Genomic DNA, 23,569 nt, shown 5'->3' on the forward strand with positions numbered 1-23,569 from the left:
AGGAATGGGAGCTTTTGTGTACTGCCCTGGCAATGCCAGTGTTTGCCCCATGAAGCCAATCTCAGGACCCCTGTCCCAAGAGGGGACAGCTAAGACAGCCTAACTCTGGATGTGTGAGTTGAGCTGCATGAGACCCCAGCAGGGCAATGGCTACAGGGGAAACCCCAGGACAAGGGGACAGAGAATTCCAGCAGAGACTTGGCCATAGCTGCCAGCTCTGACTAGGGCTGCCCAAGAGCTGCCCACCACCGGCAGCTGTGGTGAGACGCCATGAGCCTCCGTGGGATTCAGAGTGCGTCCTGAGCCCTACCAGGAGTCAGAGGAGCTAGGGGGCCCCAGGGACTGTCTCTTGTTGGTTTCCATTCTCCTTGCCATCACCCCCAACACTCACCCTTAACCTCCCAGGCTGGGGCAGTTAAGGAAAGCCTTAAGGGTTCCCCTGTGACCATGAGTCTGCCCTGAAAAGCAATGTCAATGCAGTGGAATGCAGGCACCAGCCCAGGACTGGATCTGAGCAGATGCAGAAGCAGCAGGAAGCTGGAGTGGTGTGCGGGTTTGAGGTACACATCAATCAGAGTAACAAAGTGGCAAGTCAGACATCCGAGAATTCAAAAAAGTTCAGAGGCTGGGAACCCAACATGGAATCCCAACTCCATCCATTCATTCGTTCGTTCATTCATTCATTCATTCATTCATTCGTTCATTCACTCATTCATGAATGTCTAAGTTGTACCCTGTGCTTGAGAAGGAGCAGTGGAGGCTGTGGGTCCCTGCTGTGAGGATGAGGGGGACCCTGGGGCTGGGGGCTCAGCAGGCTTGCCCTGAGTGGTCCCCATGAGCGCCAGCCCCAAGCCAGGCTCTGTACTTGAACCTGTGGATACAAAGAGGGGTCATGCAGGGGTCACCATTATAAGGGGAAATTTATTTCCACAGGAAACATTTCCACCTCCTGAAGTGTCCCCTCTCCTTAAAAATAGCCCCAGTAGCCAGTGCTTCTTCACAGATAACCACCACAGTGTTAGCCACTTGGCAGCCTCTCAAGGAAGGAGGTAATGGCCCCTTTATCAGCAGGGCCCAGCCAGGAGAGTGGCTAGTAGGGACAGATGAGTTTGGTAGCAAGAGGCAGTGAGGTCCAGGTGAAAGGTAGAGCAGAAGACAGGGCCACCGGTGACAGGGGCTCTGGACTAAAGCTGTCAGAGTGTGACTGAGGGTCCAGTCACAGGGGACACAGAGAAGTGGGCTTGCTTGGGAGCAGGGACCCATCCTCCCCATCCACACCACATCTCCACACTCAGGGAGGATTGGGCTGACACCAAGTGGCTGTGATTCCCAGCAACTGAGACTGTGGTTTGAGGCAAGGGTGCTCAACTCTACTGCACGTGAGAATGGCCCGGGGGCTTTTGAACCTGCTGCTGCCAGGCTGCACCCAAGCCAGTTAGATCAGAATCTAATCAGAGGGTAGGCCTGGACATTGGTGACCCACCAGACTCAGGTTGTTCCAAGATTGAGAGCTGCTGGTTTAGGACTCCTTAAATCCCTCTGAGAGAGTCCAGGTTGTGCCCTGTGCTTAAGAAGGAGCAGTGGAGACTATGGGTCCCTGCTGTGAGGATGAGGGGGACCCTGGTGCGGGGTTCTCAGCAGGCTTGCCCTGAGTGTTCCTGAAAGATCTACTTTCCAAGTCCCAAAAGACCGTATCAAAATCCCACTGACCTAAAGTGCCTCATTTCTGCTGATTCATATTTGCCCCAGCCTCTGCCATCCATAAGAACATGCCATGGAGGAAACACTGATTAAGCATCTTCTGCCAGCCTGGCACCTTGGACATAATCCTCTAATCCTCCATGTGGCCAGGTATTATTCTCACCTGGCAGGGATGGAAACTGAGGCTGAGAGAGGCAAGTCAGCACAGAACTGCACAGGATTCAGGTAGCGAGTGGCAGAGTTGGGGTCTGAGTCGGGGTCACTGACTTCTGGTCCTAGGTTCCCTCCTCCCTGTTCCATCATCCCCAAGGCACCAGGAGCCCAGGAGCCCAGGAGGCCTGGCCTCACATTGAGTTTGCACAGAGAACTGCATCAGACACACTCCTGTCTGCAGCTCCTATGTAAGATGTGGTACCAGGTGCAAAAGGAGGGCTTAAAGGAGGGTTGTGATGTCTACACCACACCCACACCCCAGCTGGCCCCACGGGACTACTCACTTGACCTGTGGTGGCTCCTCCAAGTTCTCCGCACCTCCAGTACCTGCTCATAGCCCGGTGATCCTGCTCCAGGCTCCACCTTCAGCAGAGTGACTGACAACCAGGGGCCAAGAGAACACAAGGCCGGGCCACATGGCACCTGTTTTGAGCTGTCTCCTGTGACCTTGTAGGGACAGAGGCTGCCCTCCAGCCCCTTCGAACCACAGCATCTCACCATCCTCCTGTTATCCCACCTGCCAGTGCCAGAGGGCGCTGCAGAACAACCTTGGAGCTATTTTATTCCTGAAGAACTTGTTACTGTGTTTACTGTGAGTGCCCGTGGTTGTCCATTACAGGAAGGGGTTCCACAGTTTTCAGCTCTAATAAAGGACTCCTGTGAAAGCCTGTCCTGGCTCCTTTCCATTACTTTAAGGGGACAGAATCCGATCTACTGTCTGACAACAGAGTGGATGGTAGCTCCCCTTTCTGCCTGGTCCCTACCACAGGCTGAAGGTGGCATTCAGCAGCCCCTTGAGATCTTGTCCCCTCCAGCCCTGTTCCTGGCATCCAAATCCCTGCAGTGGCTAGTAAGGGGTTCTGCCCTGGGCAGGGGCTCTATCCTCTGCAGGTTTGATGGCACCTGAATGGCTTCTGGTGTGTGGGAATCAGGGACAGCCCCAGCCAATGGTCGTTTCCTGTAGGGGATGAAACTTTGACCTCAGCATCTCTTCCCATTGCCTGTGTTGGCTGGAGTACTTAGTGTCCCGAGTGCTTGGCAAGGCCACTCAGGTGTGCACTGACTGGAGGGAGAAGGTCCTCTCGGGAAACCTGTGTCTGTGAAATGCTGCATTTTCAGAAATCATACAAGCTGGATGTTATGTGGCCATTATTAAAAATTAAATTGTAGAGTCTTACAATTAAATAAATATTATATTAAAAATAAAAATATTAAATACCAAAACTCAGCACTTTCTGGTTATTTGACTCCATTTTACTATTACCTGTGCCCAAGGATATTTACATCACGTTGTGTCTGTCTGCTGGAAATACTGTCCCCCGCGGAGTGACTGCCCAGCTCTCCCAGCTCCACATGCAATGGCGTCTTATTGCTGGCATAAAATGGCCATGGGGGGAGGATTCACACCATGGAAATCACGCTACAAAGGAAGCTTCCACCTTCCCAGAGCCTGTTGTTAAAGATTTCACAATGCCCCACTGCCTACAGCTCACCCAGAAAGGGGCAAATACACTAGGAGAGCTTGGAAAAAGGCTTCATTGGCCTGCCACCATGTTCAAGTTTCCTTCATTGGCATTAAATTTTTTTGGAAAGCGTCTGTGTTTTAGCAAGTGTGGAATCCAAAGCTACCTCGGCAGGGAGATGCCTTGGGAAGCTCCCACAGGCTCTGATGAAAGCAGTGGTTGTGGCACCTGGCCTACTCTTGGCCCCTGGGGAAGGGAAAGCTGTCCAGGTACAGGTTAGGGGCAGGCCAAAGACGGGAAGCCAGGTGGTGGAGGCTATGGGATGGCACACGTCAGAGTCCTGCCTCATCTCCCTCTGCCTGAGTCCAGCACCAAATTCCCTCTCCTGCTCCTCTTAGCCATGAGGACGTCTGATATCCCTCAGCTCCATCTTTGGATATCTGGCCTGAGCCAACCTTCAGGTGACAGTTCTGTTTTCCCTGGAACTCTATACCTATAAGTGCCTGGGAGCCCATATGGTTTGTCCAAGCTTCGAAATGAGGAACAGCATCCCTGCTGAATCAGAGACAAAGATTTGTTTCTGTAACAGCATCTTCCAAGAGGCTTAAGCTCCAAGATTAAGTGATGGAGTCATGTGGGGGCACTGATGACTCCAAGGGCTTGGCCTGGGACAACTGCTCAGGACAAAGGAGAAGCCAAGGCAGAGTGAGGCCACCATGCTGGGTAATGACTCATCTGATTGAGATCTAAGATTTGTACAGAGCTAGCAGGGAACATAGAGGAGTGAACGCTTTCAAAATCTGCTCCATCCTCATTCACAGCCTGCTGGGGAGCTCTCTATGGTCAAGGAGGCTTGGAATGGGTGCACAGCCACCCAGGCTTTCCTGTGTTCTGATGAGTTAGAATCTCTCCTCAACCAACCCACCTCCACCCCATGCACCACTGCAGATTTCTACATATGGGACTACAGGTGGCAAAGATGGGGAGTCTGCTTCTTGATACCTGTCTTCTCCCAAGTATGTAAATACTGGAGGGTTGAGTGTTGGCCTGGGGTGCCTAGGCATAGTGCCAAGCTCAGACTTTTGTATTGGAGGGGTGGGTGGGGGTGGAAAATTATGAAGAAACTCACAGGGAACACAGGATCAGTAACTTCTCAGGATAGAGACCCACAGTGACTGTCCCAGCTTGTCACCTTCTCCCAGAGGGATGCCTTCTGTGTGCTGTGAGGAGAGCAGAAGAGTTGGGGAGGGGGTATCAGGAAGCTACTGGAACTCTTAAATCTTTGTGGAAGCCTCACTGGTTAAGTTTGGTCAGGATGTGGTTGGCTCCCATTGTGTCAGGATGGCTGCCTAGTTAATAAAATTGCTGTCTCTTCTTCCTTTCTCTGATCACCGGATTTTCCTTTAAATTACATGCAGAATTTTGGTAGGGGAAACAATTCAGTACTATTTTCCTGGGACTTTGGTTAATAAAATCTCTGTCTCTTCTCCCTTCCTCTGATCACTGGATTTTCCTTTAAATTACACCCAGAACTTTGGTAGGGGAACCAATTCAGTACTATTTTCCTGGGACTTTTCCAGTTTTAGCACTGAAAATCTCAAGTTCTGGAACCCTTCGATCCCAGACAAGCCAGAATGGCTGGTCACTCTAGAGCCTCTGGACAAGGCTACAGGGAAGAGGAGGTCCAGATGCTATAACAATCATCAAACACAGAAGACTGGAAACCCTTTAGCAATGAAATTTAGACTTTCACTTTTTTAGTCTCTTTTCAATTCAGTTTGAATAATTCCTTTTAGCATTTCTTGTAGGGAAGGTCTAGTGGTTATGAACTGATGAACTCCCTTGGTTATGGTTAGTCTGGGAAAGTCTTTATATTTCCTTCGTTTACAAAGGACAGTTTTCCTGTCTAAAGTATTCTTGGTTGACTGACTTTTTGTCTTTTAGTATTTTGAATATATCATTATCCCAGTCTCTCCTGGCCTGCAAAGTTTCCGCTGAGAAGTTAACTCATAGACTTAAGGGGAGCTCCTTTGTATATGATAAGTTGCTTTTCTTGTCGCTCTCAAAATTCTCTCTTCGACTACTGAAAATTTAATTATATTGTGTCTCATTGTAAACCTTTTAGGATTCAACCTATTGGGAACCTTTGATCTTCATGAATCTGGATGTCCATTTCTCTGCCTAGATATCAGAAATTTTCAATTATGATTTTCTTAAATATGTTTTTCTCCCTTTTCTGTCTCTTTTCTGCATCTGGAATTCTCAGAATATGTACATTGGTTTACTTGATGGTATCACGTAAATCCCAGTCTTTTCCCCCTATTTTTCATCTTTCTTCTTTTTGTTTATCTAACCAGATGATTTCAAATAACCTGTTTGAGTTCACTGATTCTTTCTTCTGCTAATCAAGCTTACTATTGAAGATCTCTTGAGTTTTTCAGCTCAGTCATTGTATTCTTCAGCTGTAGGATTTCTGCTTGTTTCTTTTTTATGGTTTCTATTTTTTAAATGAACTTATAATTTTTTTCATTGTTGTTTCATAGATTTCATGTAGTACTAAATCTGTTCTTTTCAGTGAACTTCAAGACAATTATTTGAATTATTTGTCAAGTAGTTAATGGATTTCCACTTCTTTAGAGCTGGTTACTGGAGCCTTATTAGTTTCCTTTGATGGAATCATGTTTGCCTGATTCTTCATGGTCCTTGTAATCTTGCAATGGTGTCTGTGCATCAGAAGGAGCAGTCGCCTCTTCTGATCTTTAAAGACTGGATTTGGTAGGAAAAGATCTACTGGGTCTCAAGACAGATATGCCGCCTCTGGGACTGCAGTCAAGCTGGGATGGCCCTTGGTCATGGGGCTTCTTTCATGTCTTCAGTTGGGTCCATGGTTGGCAGTCCTGTTATCCTGGGTGTGGGTGAGTATAGTTTCTGTGGGGTCCCCAGAGAAAAGAGACTGCCTTTAACACTACAGAAACCAGGGCTAGAGTTGACTATGCAGGCTGGTTTTCAGTCTGGGGCTGAGTCTATGGTAGCTGACCTGTTCCTGGGACACAGGCATACCTTCTAGAAGCAGATTTCTATGCTCTTATGTTTCAGTGGTGTGTCACAACCTCCTACCTGGGTCCTGAAGCTTCCATAAAGGTATATGTGTCTGTGGATGGTTGCCAAATTGTTGTTTTGTGGAGAAGTGAGAGCTGGGGATTCCTATTCTGCCATCTTGCTCACATCACCCTTCCCTCTGCCTTGGACATTTTTTCTTTAACCAAATAAATTCATCAGTTGGCATATAGCCTTGAACTGTATAAGCCTGGATAATTGTAATAAAAGTTTCTTGGGCCTACATTTGTGGGTGTACACAATCACCTTCGATATAAGGAGCAAGGTGAAAGTAGGTTGATGTTGATCCTTCCTTCTTTCCTTCCTTTCTTCCTTTCTTTTCTTTTCTTTTCTTTTCTTTTCTTTTCTTTTCTTTTCTTTCTTTCTTTCTTTTTTCTTTCTTTTTTCTATTGGAGACATAGTTACTAAGGTCATAATGTTTATCGTTTGGTAGCTATGAACCAGTTACTCATTAGGATGTAAATATAACTGGCTAACATTTAACCCCCACCTTACAAGCAATAAATACTACCGTGACAGGAATGCTTTCTAACTCCTTAAAAGTCATGGTATTTCTCTTTGAAAGCATTTCATGTTTAAATAGAAAAAACTCCCCTATAAGCAGGAAAGAATATTTTATGCTCTCCATGTCAAAAATGGCTGAAACAACCTCTGATATGTGAGATGAATTGGATGGTCAAAAGCAGTGAATGAAAAGGATTTCCAGATAATGGCTGACTTGAAAGCTAAAAACTATACAACTCCTTAATAAGAGCAGTTACCGAATGACAAGTGATAGGCCAATTTGGAATGGAGTGAAATTCAGTGATGCATTTGGTATTTTTGTAGACTTTAAGTCCTAAGTGCTTCATCTCTCTGATGGCTATTACCACAGAATTAAAAAAAAAAAAAGAGAGAGAGGTTAAACAAAAGCATCAATTAATCTATATAGGAATTTGGATATTTTCATTGAAAATGAAGTCTTTTGAAATTTCTGGGTCTGTTTAATTTAAAGCATTCTGAGTCTGTACCAAAGATGAGCAATAATTGCTCACAAGGGTACTGGGGTTCTCTGTTGCATTGTGAATATGGAATTGTAGTGGTAGTTAGCAACATATAGTCCACTGGTTCTAGCTATGTCCTCGTTTTCCATGGTTTAATTTTTGCAAGCCCTGTCAATATATTTTAAGATTAGGAAAGTCATTAAGAATCATTTTGTGTAAGCTGTCAGGATAGGTGTTTTCCAAGCATAGTATTTTTCATATTTCTATCTGATTATTTTTGATATTTATTTGGTTGTATTCTAGAACAGCTTTGACAGGATTTTGGAGATTGGGGTGAAGCACTGAACCAAAGTCACAGATATGCACATATCCCTCTAAGAAGGTGAAGTTAACATTTGTCAGAGGGACCTGGAAGATTTCTTTGTAACCACCTGTCCAAGGAGTTTGGTATCTCTAAAAGTGAACAGGCAGAGCATGTCTGGTTAGTTTTGGAAGGGGCGTGACTAACAGGTGATGGAGTGTTGTTCTTACTGTTGAAAGATTTTCTTAAGGGGCAAGTGTTTTATTTTCTGGTATTCATGGGACATTGTAGGGGTTAGGATATTTTCAGCTTCATATGAAAGAAACCCACTCAAGTTGGCTTAAACAGCAAGGACAAATACAGTAGTTCCCCCTTATCCACAAAGTATACATTTCAAGACCCTAATGAATATCTGAAATTGCAGATAGTGTTTTTTCCTATTCATACATACCTATGACAAACTTTATTTCATAAATTAGATGGTAAGAAATTAACAATGATAATAAAATAGAACAATTATAAAAATATGCTATAATAAAAGTTATGTAAATGTGGTCTGCCTTTGTTTCTCAAAACATCTTATTGTACTGTAGATCTTAGCAACTTCACATACACATCTTTTTTCCTTATTAAGCCGAGAAGATTCACATTTTCACTTAAAGAAACCACTTCATGACTTCCCTATGGCATATCCGGATTGCCGTGATTCCATGTCCTGCACCTTAAGGCCAATTTTAAATAAAATAAAGGTTATTTGGATGCAAGCACTGCTATCCAACACACTCAATCTGGTAACCCAGATGGCTCCTAAGTGAATAATGGGCAGGTGGGAAGTGGCAACTCAGGCCAGTTCTCAGACCTGAGTATGAGGTCAGTTGCCCCCTGGGCACATTGGGCGCATGGGGTGAGAATAGATACATGGACAAAATTGGGGTTCTATAAAAAAGGAGGGAAACTATGCTGGAGAAGAAACTTATGAAATGCCCACCAGATCCTTAAACTCTTCCTGGTAAAATAAAAGCAAGGGTGCTAGGGAGGTGAATGATGACAGACGCTGGGGCAGTGGCGAGACCAGTGCGACAGTTCTGAATCTGTGGGGGACAGACAGTCAGAGGGGGTCTTTGAACAAGATGTGGAGAATTACTAAACTCTCCTGGAGAAGCAGAGAGAAAAACTGCAGTGCAGAAGGCCATGAGGAAGGAACATACAAAGGGGAGAAATGCCGGTCTGCCTAGGACCATTTGGAAACTAGGAATTACCTGAAGGAACAAAGATCCAAGGGACATAACTCCTCAAAAGCTGGTGTGAACCCAGATCTTTCCTCCAAGAGGACACTGCTTGGGGTACCTAAGACATTGATTTCTGGGGTCCCCCAGAAAACAAGTTAGATAGTAAGAGATTAACTGCTTCTTCTTCCCACGCAGCCGCAGCCATGCTGGGATGCTGCTGGCGGGGAGCACAGCTGCCCTGACACATTGGAGCCCATGGTAGCATCCTCAGCATGGACAACAAGAGGAAGGACGTATCCTCTCCATGGGCTCCCGCATTTGTTCCATGTGGGTATTCACATCCAATGGTGAGGAGCTTTGTCCTCCCCCAGCCCAGGGCCTGAAGAAAGATGAATGAGGGGTAATGGGACAGGGTATCTGGAGTAAGAGGAGGAAGGAGAATTGTGAGGAAGCATTGCAGTTTACTTTGGTAATACCTGGGAGCTTAACACTAAAACGGCCTTAGCACTGAATTCTGAGCAGAGAGGAAACTTACCAACTTCGCTTCTGCCTCCCTTCCTCAGTTGGGATGCTATGAGTGGCTAGATGGCTCCTAGCCCAGAAGTGTCGGCCTGTTCTACTTGAGTTGGAAAGCTCCTTCACACTGTGAACCCATCAGGGCCTGTGCAAATAATTACGGGAAGGAAAGGACAAGTGTGGCCTCTATGATTCATAAGAAGAAGAAGAGCAATGCAAGAGAAAACTGTTCTGAAGGCATGGACTGGCATTTCCAAAAGGGCCTCAGCTGGAGCAGAGACACTGAAAAGATGCCAGTCCCACTGGAATTCAGGAAAACACACATTTAATAAAGTTAGGTATTGTTTCTAGCATATTTGATCAGCAAGACACATTAAAAGATTTGGTAAATAGTTCAGAAAAGTGGATACTCCTGTTGTCTTGGTTGTTGTATAAATTGGCAACAGTCCTTGGTAGGCACTGCAGCTCACATTCCTATTCATGGTAGAGGAACAGTCCATCTTAAGTCCATACCACGTTTTATTTACTTACTCATCAGCTGATGGACGCTTGGGTTGCTTCCACATGCTGGCTATTATGAGCAATGCTGCTATGGAAATTCATGTACCAATTTTTGTGTGGGCTTATGTTTTCATTTCTCTGAAGTATATATCTGATGGAATTTATGGGCCATAAGGGAACTCTCTGTGTAACCTTAAGGAAAACTGCCAACCTGTTTCCACAGAGGCTTGTGCTGTGTTATTTTAATCACAACCCTGCCCTGGGACTGAGCCGTGTAGGTCCTAGCATGACCCATGGATAATAAATACAGACACAGGTACTCATGCCATCCACCTGGACATTCGCACACAGGTGGACCTGCCCCTGCAGTGGCCCCACCATGACCCACTCACACCTCGAGCAGCTCAAGGGCCTGATTCTGTGCCTTTGTCCTCCACAGATACAGAGAGGGCGGTGGGAGCCACAGGCAGTCAGGAGGTTGGGACCTCGCCCTAGTGCCACCCCTGATGCCCTGTGACTTTGGGTAAGTCTCCTGCTCTTTGTGGGTCTTGGTTCCTTGCTTGTCCAAGGACTCCTGGCCTGCCTCACCTCTCAGGTGTTATGAGACTTTTTCAATGTAACACAGGTGAAAGTGCTATGAGCTAAACCTAAGGCAGGTGGGCTGCCCAATCAGGAGGTCATGATGGTCTGTGGTCAACTTGTGATTCTTCCTCTGAGACCACCCAGAGAGGAAAAGAGGAGAACCTGATCATTATATCTCATTCTAGGTGACAGAGGACTCTGAACCAGACTGAGAAGGAACAGTGTTCATTAGCAGCTAGCCACACCTCACGCCTCCCTCTCTAGACCACCCAGTGCTGCAGGTGATCCTGCAGCACACTCAGATCCTGCAGCTTGGACAGCCTTGGCTCCAGGTGAGAGGGAGGAGATCAGATTTCAGGAGCGGCTCTATATAGCTCCAAGCCACCAGAGCTGTGCTCACTCCTGAGGCTGGTGCCAGGCTCTGCTCAGGATGAGGCTGTCCAGAGCCTTCGCTTGGGCACTGCTGTGCAGTACAGGTAATGTGTGGCCCCCGAGCCCTCTGTCCTGGGCTTCTCTTTGCTTTCCTGTTCCACTCTGAGGTTGTTGTAGTTTGCTTTTTGCATAGGAAGAAGCTCATGGCTGATTGGCTGTGAGATACTCTCCTCCATACAAAATGTGTCACTTTCCCCTTAGTACTGGAGGAGGAAGGGACAGACAGGGATTGTTCTGGTCACTAGGCTGATGTCAGCATGATTTTTAATGTTTCTCAGCTCTTGGATCTATGGGCCTCTTCCTTGCCTTAAGCAACTTAGGCTGAGATTCTACGGGGGGCAAGCCAGAAGTGGCTGAGAGAATGAGACACGGTCTTGCTTTGGAGGCGTTCCAGGTGGTGTGAGCATCTGCCAATGCTCCCCTGGCTCATGCAAGCCTGGCTCTGCACATGTTGGGCAGAGGCTGCACCTGTGACTGCAGAAATAAGATTGAGCCACAGTTTTCCTGCATCAGCCTTGGGTGAGGGAGAAGGAGTATGACCCAGTAACCCTTCCAGAAACATACATGGATTCTGTTCCAGCATTTCTGTACACCTACTTCTTTGGGGTCAGTAGGTCAGATGTGAAAACTATTCTATCGTTCCTGTCCTTTTGATATTGGAGCATGTGTCTGTTAGACTCTATCTTCTTCCTCTTTGTTGATCTTATTATAAGCCCTATGGCATTTCCCAATGTATTTATGCGAAATGAGTAGCATATGAACTTTATAATATCAAGGATGTATAATACCCAATGTCTATATAAGATATATAATCCTGGAAAAAATATATAAAATAAAGAAACTCATAACTCATGGAATGTGATGACAGTTGGTGCCCTATGAATTACTCTCTGTACTGAAACACACAGCACACATTCCCCATCCCTAAAAGGCTTGTATTCAATTGAGGACTGAAACCAGCTCACACAGAGTCAAATAGCAGCACAAGAAGCAATGGCCCCCGACACCCCCACCAGGCAGCCGTGGCAGCTGCAGACACTGTGAGGTCTGGGGTTCACCCAGCTGTGCTGTTCACACCAGGCTTCCCAGTGAGGTGGAGCTCAGGTCTGGCCTCCAGCATGGGGAGGTCTGGAAAGGCCGGAATAGGACGTGCTGAGCAGGTGCCGTGAGCAGAGGTGGAGTCACCCGAATGGGGTGAATTTAGGAACAAAGAGAACACAGAGAAAGGTGCTCCCTCCTTAGTCTGAGTGTTTCAGGAAGGGCAAAGCTCACCCTGGGGCCTGGGTTAGGCACATTTGAGCATGTTCAACTGCATTTCAGGCACATTGCTGAAGTGGCCGCTTCTTGCTTCACTATGCGTGAGGTCTCTCTGGGGACAGAAGAGGGCTTGGCTCCTGGTCTTTGTTCTAGATAGGTCTGGGCTTTTTCCAAGACACTTGGTGGGCCTTGGGGAGGCCCACAGTCCTCCATGAATGTGATTTGGGGAGAGGAAGACACAGGGTCAGGGACCTTCCAGAACTGACCTTGCAGAGTTTCCCTCCACTCATGAAGCTGGAAGGAGCGTTTGGATCCTGTAAACCTCACATGAAGCGAGCATCTCTGTCGTGTCGTCTAAGTTGTTCTGAATGTTTGTCCTGGAGCTTGAAGGATTGCCTGAAATTCACTGACACGTTTGGAGAGGAAAAACAAATCCTACTTTTATTTGCCCTTTCTGATTTTTCTAAATTAACAGATACAGAGGTGCTGCAGGCAGGCCTTGTCCTCTAGCTCTGGCATGCAGCGCACGGTCCCCTGGGATTTAGTGAGAGCAGATCCAGGTCTTTGATGGTCCCAGAGCACCCTGGAGTGGAATAATATGATGGAACCAGCTGAGTCCTAGCTTCTGCTTAGCACGCTGATGTCTTTGGCTGGAAAGGGTCTAGGGAAACCCTGGCCAAAAAGGAGCCAAAGAAATAAAAATAACAAGGCGCCTATGTCCATTCTCCTGCTGACTGACATGCGGCTCCAGGTCAGACCTTTCACCTCTGTCAACCACGATTTTCTCATTTATGAATTGGAGATAGAAACAGGTAACAAAGAAATAATAATGGTGAAGACCATTAAACACTTATTCAACACTCAACATTCTGTAGGTACTACATCAATAATTTCATACAGGTTGTCTAATTTCACCATGATTGGAACTTTTTGAATAGTAATAATTTTCCCAAAATTTTTAGGGTTTGAGAAAGTAAATAAGTTGCAAACAGCTTCCCTAGAGGCACATGCTGTCATGCTAGCTAGGACTGTGATGAGGGCCATTCTGATGCAGAGGCTGGGCTCCTGCCGCCATGTCTGTCACGAGTGTGAACCACAGAGCCACGTCTCCTGAGGGAGGCCCTGCGACTGCACCCAGAGCTCCTGCATCCAAGTCCGTGACACGTCCCTGAAATGGTGAGCCTTCCATAAATAAACGTGTCATTTCCCTTCACTTAACAATGTTATTCAAGTTGATTATTGATTTTATTATGAAATTTACAATAAGAAATGTTTAGAAAAGGTTTAGTGTGAAAAACTCTCCAGTTTTGCCCAGGATGAAAGGTTTCATGGACAAGTGATCTTCCACGCTAAAGCAACAAAAATCATCAAAACTAGGACAAGACAGTCCCCTTGATCAGAGCAGTTTTTCAGACTGTGGTGTCAGAATGTGGACTTTGAGTCGAACCGAGCAAGGAGAAAGCAGCAGTGAGTGAGCTGGGCCGTGAGTGCTGAGAGCCATTCCTTCTTTCCTTGGGATGCAGGGCTGCTCCAGGGATGGGGACAGCGATATCCCCTCCTCTCCCTGCCCAGCTCTGTCCCTTTGCACTCAAGCTCCTCTTCATAGTGTGGTCATTTTCCATTCTTCTCCCTTGACCCATTGGTAACTTCGGCTTTTCATTTTGCTTTTCTGTTTTCATGATTATTCAGGAATAATCCATTTACCAACAATGACAAGAAGTAAACATGAGCAATATATATTCACCCTTTCCCTCTCCTCACACAAGGACTATGTATTTCTGAGTTGGACACCATATGTCTCGACAGGAAGTGTAGGACCTGAGCCTTTTTCTGGGCCAAAAGAATGTGGTACATGTATCTGAATATCAGCTTCAGCACTGATACAACTTCAGCTCAATCCTGAAACTTCTCTCTCCACACATGGTCTTCCTCTGTGTGTCCCTCAACTCCTTCCAGCCCCATGGAGCCCCCCTCTTTTCCTGCCTTCTCTGTAGCCTCACTGTGCAGAGAAAGGAGCCACCTCTCCACAGAGCTGTGTCCCAGGAGAATGGGAGCCTCTTCTAAACACCTGGAGTCCTAGAGAGCTGAGGGGCTGCTCCATCCTCGGAGTCAGAGATGAAAGCCTTGAAGGAACAGGGAAGAACTGCAGCGTGGAGAGGGTGGGTCGGAGGGAGGAGAGGTTTCCTCCTGCTGCAGGCAGCCTGTTGATGGATGGATTCATTTACTTAGTGCTTAGCCAGTTGCTGGGTACCTGCTGGGCACTTTACACACCCGAACACATTTGCCCCCTTATGCGAGGTGCTACTTTCATCCTCACTGAACAGTGTTCTGGAACCGCACCCTCAGGTCTTACAGTGACATGGATTCTCATGTATGGGGGTGGTTAGGCCTCTCTGGGGGCAGGAACACTGCCTATTTGCTATTTTTTCTGGCCTCCTTAGGAAAAGACAATCAGAGTGGTAGAAAGGAGGTGTTCGTGCTGACTTTCTGTTTTCCACTGTGGCGGTGGGGTAGATGATAAAGAAGATTTGGTGAGGGGTGCTAAATTTCTTCTATTTCCCAGTGATCTAAAAGAAATTATACTACAAATGGGTGTGATAACTCAAAATCTCTGAGTGTATGAAACAGAAGCCACATTAGTTTTGGGGGAATGGCTATCTGGTCACCAATTTCCTTTTTTGTTTTTGTTTTGTTTTGTTTGTTGTTGTTTGTTTGTTTGAGACCAAGTCTGGCTCTGTCACCCAGGCTGGAGGGCAGTGGTGCTATCTTGGCTCACTACAACCTCCACCTCCTGGATTCAAGTGATTCTTGTGCCTCAGCCTCCTGAGTAGCTGGGATTACAGGCGTGCACAACCACACCCAGCTAATTTTTGTACTTTTTAGTAGAGATGGGGTTTCGCCATGTTGGCTACACTGGTCTCAAACTTCTGATCTCAAGTGATCTGCCTGCCTCGGCCTCTCAAAGTTCTGGGATTGCAAGCGTGAGCCACCGCACCTGGCCTGATCACCAATTTTTCTGAGAACACCTGGAAGTTGAGAGTATCAACAACCATTTGCCCCAGAGATAGCAAAGTCCCTCAGCTCAGGAGATGCCCTGGAGCCACGGTGGTTCCTGATTCTCTGGTTGTAGGACCCGCTCAGTGTAGGAGTGTCCTTAGTGTAGGGGTGTCCTCAGTGTAGGGGTGTCCTCAGTGTGGGGGTGTCCTCGGTGTGGGGGTGTCCTCGGTGTGGGGGTGTCCTCGGTGTGGGGGTGTCCTCGGTGTGTGGGGTGTCCTCGGTGTGGGGGGTGTCCTCAGTGTGGGGGTTGTCCTCACGCATTCTCTGGGAAGGTTTTCAACTCAGGAACAAAACAGAATCTGTCTGGGCCATCCAGGTGAAACTAAAAGGAAATCTATCTGTTATTTCCTTTCCTCAAGTGAGTGCTCAGGATGTGATTTCCTTTGTTGATGGTATAGTTTGCTGGGATGAAATCCACATGGCGTCTTGCCAGTTTACCCCCACCCAACCCAGAGGCCTCTAAATAGAATTGGAGGCTTCCACTCCTGCTGCAAATGCATTTAGTGCCTCCCTGTCTTCCAGGTCAGGTGCTCTCTCCTTAGCCTGCATTGCAAAATACTTCCCAATGTGGCTCCTGGACCTCTCCTCCCCTCCACCCACTCCTGCCCTCGGCCCCCTCCACACTGGGGTTCCTGGCACCACCTGTGAAGCAGCTCCATGCCATTGCTCACACTGGGCTCTGATGAGAACGCCTACTTCTACCCCTGTCAGACTCATCTGCCCTATCCTTAGGGTCCTCTACGAGGATTTCATGATTCAGCTGGAGGCCCAGCTCTTCTGTAGTGTCTGCGTGACTCCTTCCCAGACGGGCAGAGCTCTTTCTTTTGCACCCTACTAGATACCTTCAGAAAAGGCCGAGTTGTCTTTTCAATGTACACCGACACTTGTTTCATTCTTTGACGCCACTGCAATGAAAGCTCTCTTTTGGGGTTCAAGGCAAAATTGTTAATGAATGAATACATGAATGAATGATTGAATGAATGAAAGCAGTGATAAGATCCCAGAAGGCAGAAAACCCTGTAGCATTTATACCCAAGACAGTCTGTTTTGATTGAGCATGGCAGCCACATTTCCATCAATTCCAGACAAAGCCAAACACAACCCAGGATGTGGATGAGAAAGATGATGGAATATATGTGACTAAGGTCCCCCTTTCCCTCCACACTGGCTTTTGGGCTGGGACCTCAAGGTTATGCAGGTGCTCTGTGTGACAAAGGACATCTTTTGGATGGCTGCCTCAGATACAGAACTTAGACCATTTGCCCAACACGGGCTCCAGTGATTCTGAAAAAGGACTTGCAGCACAGGAGACCAAGATGGAGAAACAAGGAGAGAAGGAGGTTGGAGTTGGGAATTCCCTGTGCCACCATTTTTCCGGGCTCAGAAGGATTGGCAGCTCTGAACATTTTCCTGTATTGTCCTTTTGCCCTTTTCAAAGATTGGTTTTAGATCTCACTGTCCTTGGCATCAAGGAAGCACTCAGGCTGGGCCAAAAGCAAAACTAGTATGAAGTCAACCCTGTGTGTGTCCTAATGGGATATGTCTTAACTGTCTTCTCATACTTCAAATAAGCTGTAAACACTCTCCCATGTACATAAAGCTTGCTGGGGGCTAATTGAGGATGAGAGGTCAGGTTTGAAGACTGAAGGGGGTAAGAGGAGTGGGGAGACCCCTCAGGAGGGCGACATTCCATGTCCACAATATCTCACTGTAGGTAAGAAATGGAGGCCCCTCCCTGCCTTGAGTCAGGGAAGCCAAGCTTGGGCTGGGGACCCTTGTTGCCCCTCTATTTGCCAAGGGCAGGAATCACAGAGTGGCATCCACACACTCATGTCTGGAGCATCTCATCCTGACACAGAGGCTGTGGCTGAAAACACATGTCCCTGAGATGCAGATTTTGTAGCTTGTGGGGCCTGAAACACAGCTGGTGGCTGGAATTAAAATTCCTGAGTGGTATTCCCATCCACAGGCAGGGCTTCCAAGGGCACTCGGAAGACGCCTGCAGTCCTGGTGAAGAAAACATTTATTTTATTCAGGGGTTATGGAAAGAGACTAATCTGTGTGCAGAAGAGCTGTTAGACTTTCCATTCCTTGCTCGCCCCGGGCCTTGCACTTCTGAGAAGTAAGCTAATGAGAGCTGGTGCCACTCGCTGGGGAGGAAGCTGCCTGCTGGAGTTAGGCTGATTCCAAATGCTGACACCTGTCAGTTCTCTGCCCCACAGCCTCACCTATGGGAGTGAACAGGTAGAAGTCTTGGATGGATCTCTGGGGTCCAGATCCCTGAGCAAAATGTGTAAAGATATGTCCCTGACCTACCAATCCTCTTCCAATATTATGACCATCACATATAACAGAACTTTCAGCCAACCATCCACATTCTTTGTGGGATGCATATTACCATAGTGACTCAGAAGGTAGGTGGGGAAGGGGAAAACCTGCTGATTCTCCCCTTCTCTGTGGAAGCCAGCTGAGTGGCATGCTGCATATAGAGATGTTTCTGTGACTGCCAGAAAAAAAGGTGAGACCGCTTTCCAGTGGCCAAGTATTGAGTACAGGTAGTACAAAAAATGCATTGGGACATACGATTATAGCCTGGAGCAACTCATGTTGACACATGAGTAGAATAATGCCCAGTCTGTATCCCCAGAGGCTTGTATTCAGTTGAGTACTGAAACCAGCTCACACAGAGTCAAGTGGCAGCACAAGAAGCAATGGCCCCCGACACGTCCACCAGGCAATGGGTGGAAGCTGCAGACACTGTGAGGTCTGAGGTCGGCCCCACATGCGCTGATCACACCAGGCTTCCCAGTGAGGTGGAGCTCAGGCCTGGCCTCCGGCATGGGGAGGTCTGGGAAGACTGCAAAGGACGTGCTGGGCAGGTTCCATGACCAGGAGTGGAGTCACCTGAGTGGGGCGAACTGAAGGACAAGGAGAGAGAGGCACTTCCTCATGGGCCCTGTAGGCATTGCTGGTGCAGAGATGTGTGCACTGGGGTGGTTTGGGGCAGGACGGCTGGGTGGAGCATTTGAGAGGCTCAGACATGAGGCTGGACCTCTTAGGGGTCTCCTTCCTGGAACATCCCCCCAGCTCTGTCAACTCCTCTCCAGCATGGGGGGCCCCTCTGCCCTCCCATCTGGGAAGCCTCACTGGGCAGGGAAAGGAGCTGCCTCTCCACAGAGCCTGTGTCCCATGGGGGACAGGAGCCTCCTCTAATCACCCAGAGTCTGGAGAGCGGACGGGCTGCTCCAACTTCAGAGTCAAAAGTGAGAGCTGTGAAGGAAAAGGGAAGAATCGCAGCATGGAGGATGCGGGCTGGGGGCAGGAGCAGTTTCCTTGTGATGCAGGCAGCTTATTCATTTATTTTTTACCAAGGACAGAGGACTTGCCAGGTACAGAACAAACCTTTTAAAATAGGAACATATTGGATCCTAGAACACCTCTTCCATGCCACTTCTTTTTTAACTCCTCAGGTGACTGCGTCTCTCTCTCCTTTTGCCTCATCAGTCACCCCATGAAAATCTATAGTGGATTTTAGCATAAAATGTTACTTGCATTTTTATTTTTGTCTGCCACTATGGAAACTCTAACTTTGGGTTCAAGCCATATTTCCTAAATGAATGAATGTGTGACTAGTGTGATAAGATCACGGAAGGCATTAGCAACATAGCAGTAAGTTACTGCCCTGCTATCCCAGGGCCATCATCATGGATTTTAACGTGGGAGTCACATTTCCATCAACTCCAGACAAAGCCAAGGGCAGGCCACAGTAATGGATGAGAGACGTGATGAAATCTGAGTGACTAAGGGCTCCTCCCGCTCCAGAGGTGGAGTGGTGTCAGGACCCCCACTAAGTTTCTCGGGGCTTTCTAGGATGAAGGACACCTGGGAAATGGCTCTTACACGAGCAGTGCTACAACCCTCTACAAAACTTTGTTTTCATAAGGCAGCAAATAATGGTATGTTCATGAAGGTCATGATTCAGGGAACAGAGAGGAGTTTGAGGGGAGGACAGGGCTGAATGAGCCAGGCATTTCTTGTGTCGCTATTTCTCCAGGGGTCAGAAGAGTGAGATGTTTGGAACATTTTCCTAAGGACCCTTTCCTTTTTCAAAGGTATTTTGGTTCTGACTGTCCCTGTCACCAAGAGGCTCAAGGTTCAGCCAGTAGGAAAACTCGTACAGAAGGTCCCCATATTTCTGCTGTTCTGAGATGTGCCCCTCTTATCTTCTTATCCTACAGAGCCTCTGGGCTCCCGCCTGGGAGCAGGAGATACACTGGGGGCTAAGTGAACACGAGGGGTGGTGGATCAGGCTGAAGTGTTGGCCTTGAAAAGTGCCTGGTCTGGCCAGGGCTGCAGGCCTTCTTCCTGGAGGACACGCTCTGCTCAGAACAGGGCTGCTCCTGTGGAGCTGCCCTAACAACAACTTGCTCTCCCATAACTGTGGCCATGGGTGAGGGGTTGGTGTTATCTGCTCAGGTGGGCTTCTAAGTCACTGGTCCTCTATTTTGTTTTGTAGTTTTCTTCAAGAAAGTGCTGAAAGGGCTCCAGTGCATGGGGCCTTCTCACACATTTGGGCACATTTCCTTAATTTATGAGTACTCCTTTATTTTTAAGCCAATTTAGTACCTTCTGGCCACAACACATAACAAAACAGATGTATGCACACATAAATACATCTGAGCACACATACACACTCATACAAAGATCCTATAGCTTTAACTTTGGAACTCTAGCCAAGAGATATCTACACAAACTCACCAGCTTATCAAAAAATGGTTGGATGTAAGCAGTTGTTTTTATCTTAATACCAGTAGAATGGTCCTCTAAACTAGAAAAAATACATTTTCTTAAGCAAAAACCATATCCTTATGTTTTTGTTTCACCAAACACACATCTTATTCTCCTACTTCTCTAACTCCTAGTAACTCTAATTCCTAGTGAAAATTCTAGGATTACTTAATTTAACATAACATGACTTTAAGATTTCAAATCAATAGAGAAAATTAAATTTACCAAATTAAACTTACCAAAGATGACCAAAGTCATGTGAACTGAAAAGCCTCTGAACTAGTTTCTGTTAGTCCAATAAACACTTAGACTTTTCTTTAAGACAATTAATTAGAGTTCTTTAGACTTTAAGACAATTAATTAGCGCTGTTTCATATAACTTGGTCGTGAAATATCACTTCACATGACACATACAGTTCTATAGACGGACACAGACAGAGGCAGATCTTAAACACTTTAGATTTTTCATTTGTGTGTTTTCAAAATTTTTCTGTCCCCTACTTCAGATTATTGGTCTCCTGATGATCTGTTCCAAGTCCAAAATAATTGTTAACGAAGCAACTCTAAATGTACAACTCCAAAGACATGACTTTGGTGAAATAGGGTAGAAAATGTACATCTCAAAGGCACAGACTTAGACCTAAACAAAGTCAAGGTCTGTTATGTAAACTTTAAGCCATTGTCTTCCCCCTAGTTAAGGTTCCTGGTGGTACAGATGCAGAGACAGAGATGCTCTTACAAAACGGAGATTTCCTTTAATGATGTAAATTTTCTTTACAAAATGTTTTTATTAAAGTGACTTAATTTGATAGGTGTTTTTATTTGTTTGTTTGTTTGTTTTTGAGACAGAGTCTCGCCCTGTTGCCCAGGCTAGAGTGCAGTGGCGCAATCTCGGCTCTCTGCAACCTCCGCCTCCTGGGTTCACGCCATTCTCCTGCCTCAGCCTCCTGAGTAGCTGGGAGTACAGAGGCCCGCCACCACGCCCAGCTAATGATAGGTGGTCTTTTAACTTAGCTTGATTAGATCACCGGCTTTAGGGTAAAGCTCTTTGGGGAATGGGGCCAAGAATTCATGCATTTTTTAAGGACTAAACCACAATGTTCTTATTCAAATGTGTGAAGAAAAGAGTATCTCCCTGTAGTAATGACCATTTCCTGCCAACTGTCCTCAGCCACCCCTAAAATTGTAGCTATCTTCTGCCATTACACACACTAAAGTCAGATCCTCTCACAGTACAAGGTAATCTCTGGTACCCCCAAAAGCCAAAGAAACCAGGTAACGCAATACAAGACAGAAGAGCTTTAGACCTGAGAACAATCTGCCCATGACTGTTGAAACTCCACAAAGAAAGAACACCCCTAAAAGGAGTGAGCGGTGCCTTTATCCTGAGCTCTTTAAGGGACCCAAATTATTAGAAGCCTTTCTAGATATGTTTTTCACTTGGTACTGAAGATGGCAACAGGGTGGAAGTAAGTGAAACAACAATTTTTAAGAAAGGAAGTGAACTGAGAAGCCAAGCACCTTTTTGTTTTTCTTTTTGCAGCTGTGGGGGATTTTAGCCAATTCAGAGGCCTCCATAATTTGGAATTCTTATCCGGATTTGACCAAGTCCAGTACAGTTGGTCAAATCCAATGGGAGAAAGACTGAAAAAAAAACAGCGAAAAGCCAAACAATATGCTTATTCTTCTTATTCATATAGTTGTATTTTTTGGATGACTGAGGATGGCTATTTGGAGATTTTGGTGAGGTAGTAAACTGAAGGAGCCAATATGTGCATGTTCCTCAGGGCCTCTGAGAAGTTGACATAGTCAGCATTTAGTCAAAGGGACCTTGAAGGTTTCTGTGTCACCACTTGCCCCACTGAACGCTCTAATGGTAAGGAGAAATTAAGACCAGCTGGTTATCAGTCTTAACTTTTAGTCATTAAGGAGACTTTTCAACACAATATCCCAATTCAGCTACTTACCTAGGAATGGGGCCCAGGCCGAAGATTGCTCTCTACCATCTTAGAAGCAGGAAAGAAACTCAAACTCACCTTCCCTTTTGCAAGTAAGCAGAGATTCCAGGAAGGACTTGCTCTCCTGTTTCCAATGTCATGGAAAGCAGGAAAACTTGCCTTCCCTGTTAGAAGTGAGTAAAACTCCAGAAAAGCAGTCGTATGGTGAAATACACCTTAGATCTCACCCAAGTTTGGGGGAGATCAGGGATTCTCTGGAGTGGGGAAGCTCCCAGGCCTCAGCAAATTGTCCCATTGGTTTGAGCAATAAAGATAGCCCAAGCCAGTACCAAGCACCCACAGGAGATTCATCAAAGGTCAGGGGCACCTCCACTCAGAGTCTCTTCAGTTGGTCGCCAATTTGTAAACCAAAAGGTATCTGAGACAGGTCTCAATTGATTTAAAAGTTTATTTTGCCAAGGTTAAGGACATGACTAGAAATTGAAAAAACAAACACACACATGCACACACACACACACACACACAGAAAAAGCTTGTGGTCCCAAGAAGATTTTGTGGGCTTCAATACTTAAAGGGGAAAAGATGGCTGGAAGGGAAAGAGGGAGGGTATGGTCATCCACATGTCTACGCTGTGCCGCTTGGGCTGGAAGGCATAGGATTAAGCAACTTCTCTTGCATCTCTGTTCCTACATTTCATTGTGTTAATTTTTTTCCTTCCCAATCAATAATCCTGGCTGGAAGGCATAGGATTAAGCAACTTCTCTTGCATTTCTGTTCCTACATTTCATTGTGTTAATTTTTTTCCTTCCCAATCAATAATCTTAATTCAATTACTTTAAAAATGTTTCTAAGTCTTAAGAAAAGGAGCAGGTAGGGGATAGTCAATCATGAGTTTGTCTCACACTCAGTAAATAGGCATTTATATAAGATAAGGTGAACATAGAGTAACTACCTGTGGAGATATTTAACCTTTTATCTGTAGCTCTCTGCTTAGGAACAAAAGGAAAGGCAGCTTCTTGCATGCCTCAGCTTTCAGCTTAGTTTCCTTTTTCCTTTTGGCATAGGAAATTGGAGTTTGGAGTTTTTATTTTTCTTTCACAGAAGATAGATAACAAATAAGCATAGGAAAAGATACTGCCAAATGAAGATGGAATTTTTGTTGTAGTTACCAGCGTAAGGGCTTGGAGTTTAGCCATAGCCTGGCTTTCCATGATTTGATTTTCAGAAGCCCTGTCAATAGATTATGGTTACTTTACTCAATAACTACCATTTTATGTAAATCTTCAGGATGAGTGTTTCCCAAGCATAATGTTTTGCATATGTCCCTCTGCTTATTCTTGTAATTTAGATGGCTGTATTTTCTGATGGCTGTGGCTGGCTTCTGGAGACTTTGGTGAGGCAGTAAATAGAAGGACCCACATGCACATGTGCCTCAGGGCCTCTGAGAAGTTGACATAGTCAGCATTTTGTC

At 46.2% G+C, this 23,569-nt stretch overlaps 2 annotated features.

Moving 5' to 3' along the window:
- Window positions 872–1,166: an enhancer, noted in NCBI's record as "tiled region #5374; K562 Activating DNase matched - State 9:DNaseU". NCBI's record gives its function as "activates a minimal TATA promoter and a strong SV40 promoter by Sharpr-MPRA in K562 cells {active_cell/tissue: K562}" and the evidence as "EXISTENCE:reporter gene assay evidence [ECO:0000049][PMID:27701403]".
- Window positions 18,234–18,734: an enhancer, noted in NCBI's record as "H3K4me1 hESC enhancer chr10:124424211-124424711 (GRCh37/hg19 assembly coordinates)". NCBI's record gives its function as "activates a minimal SCP1, AML or CMV promoter by ChIP-STARR-seq in primed H9 embryonic stem cells {active_cell/tissue: H9 hESC(primed)}" and the evidence as "EXISTENCE:reporter gene assay evidence [ECO:0000049][PMID:30033119]".

This window comes from Homo sapiens, chromosome 10, assembly GCF_000001405.40.
Source record: "Homo sapiens chromosome 10, GRCh38.p14 Primary Assembly".
Classification (NCBI taxonomy): Eukaryota; Metazoa; Chordata; class Mammalia; order Primates; family Hominidae; genus Homo; species Homo sapiens.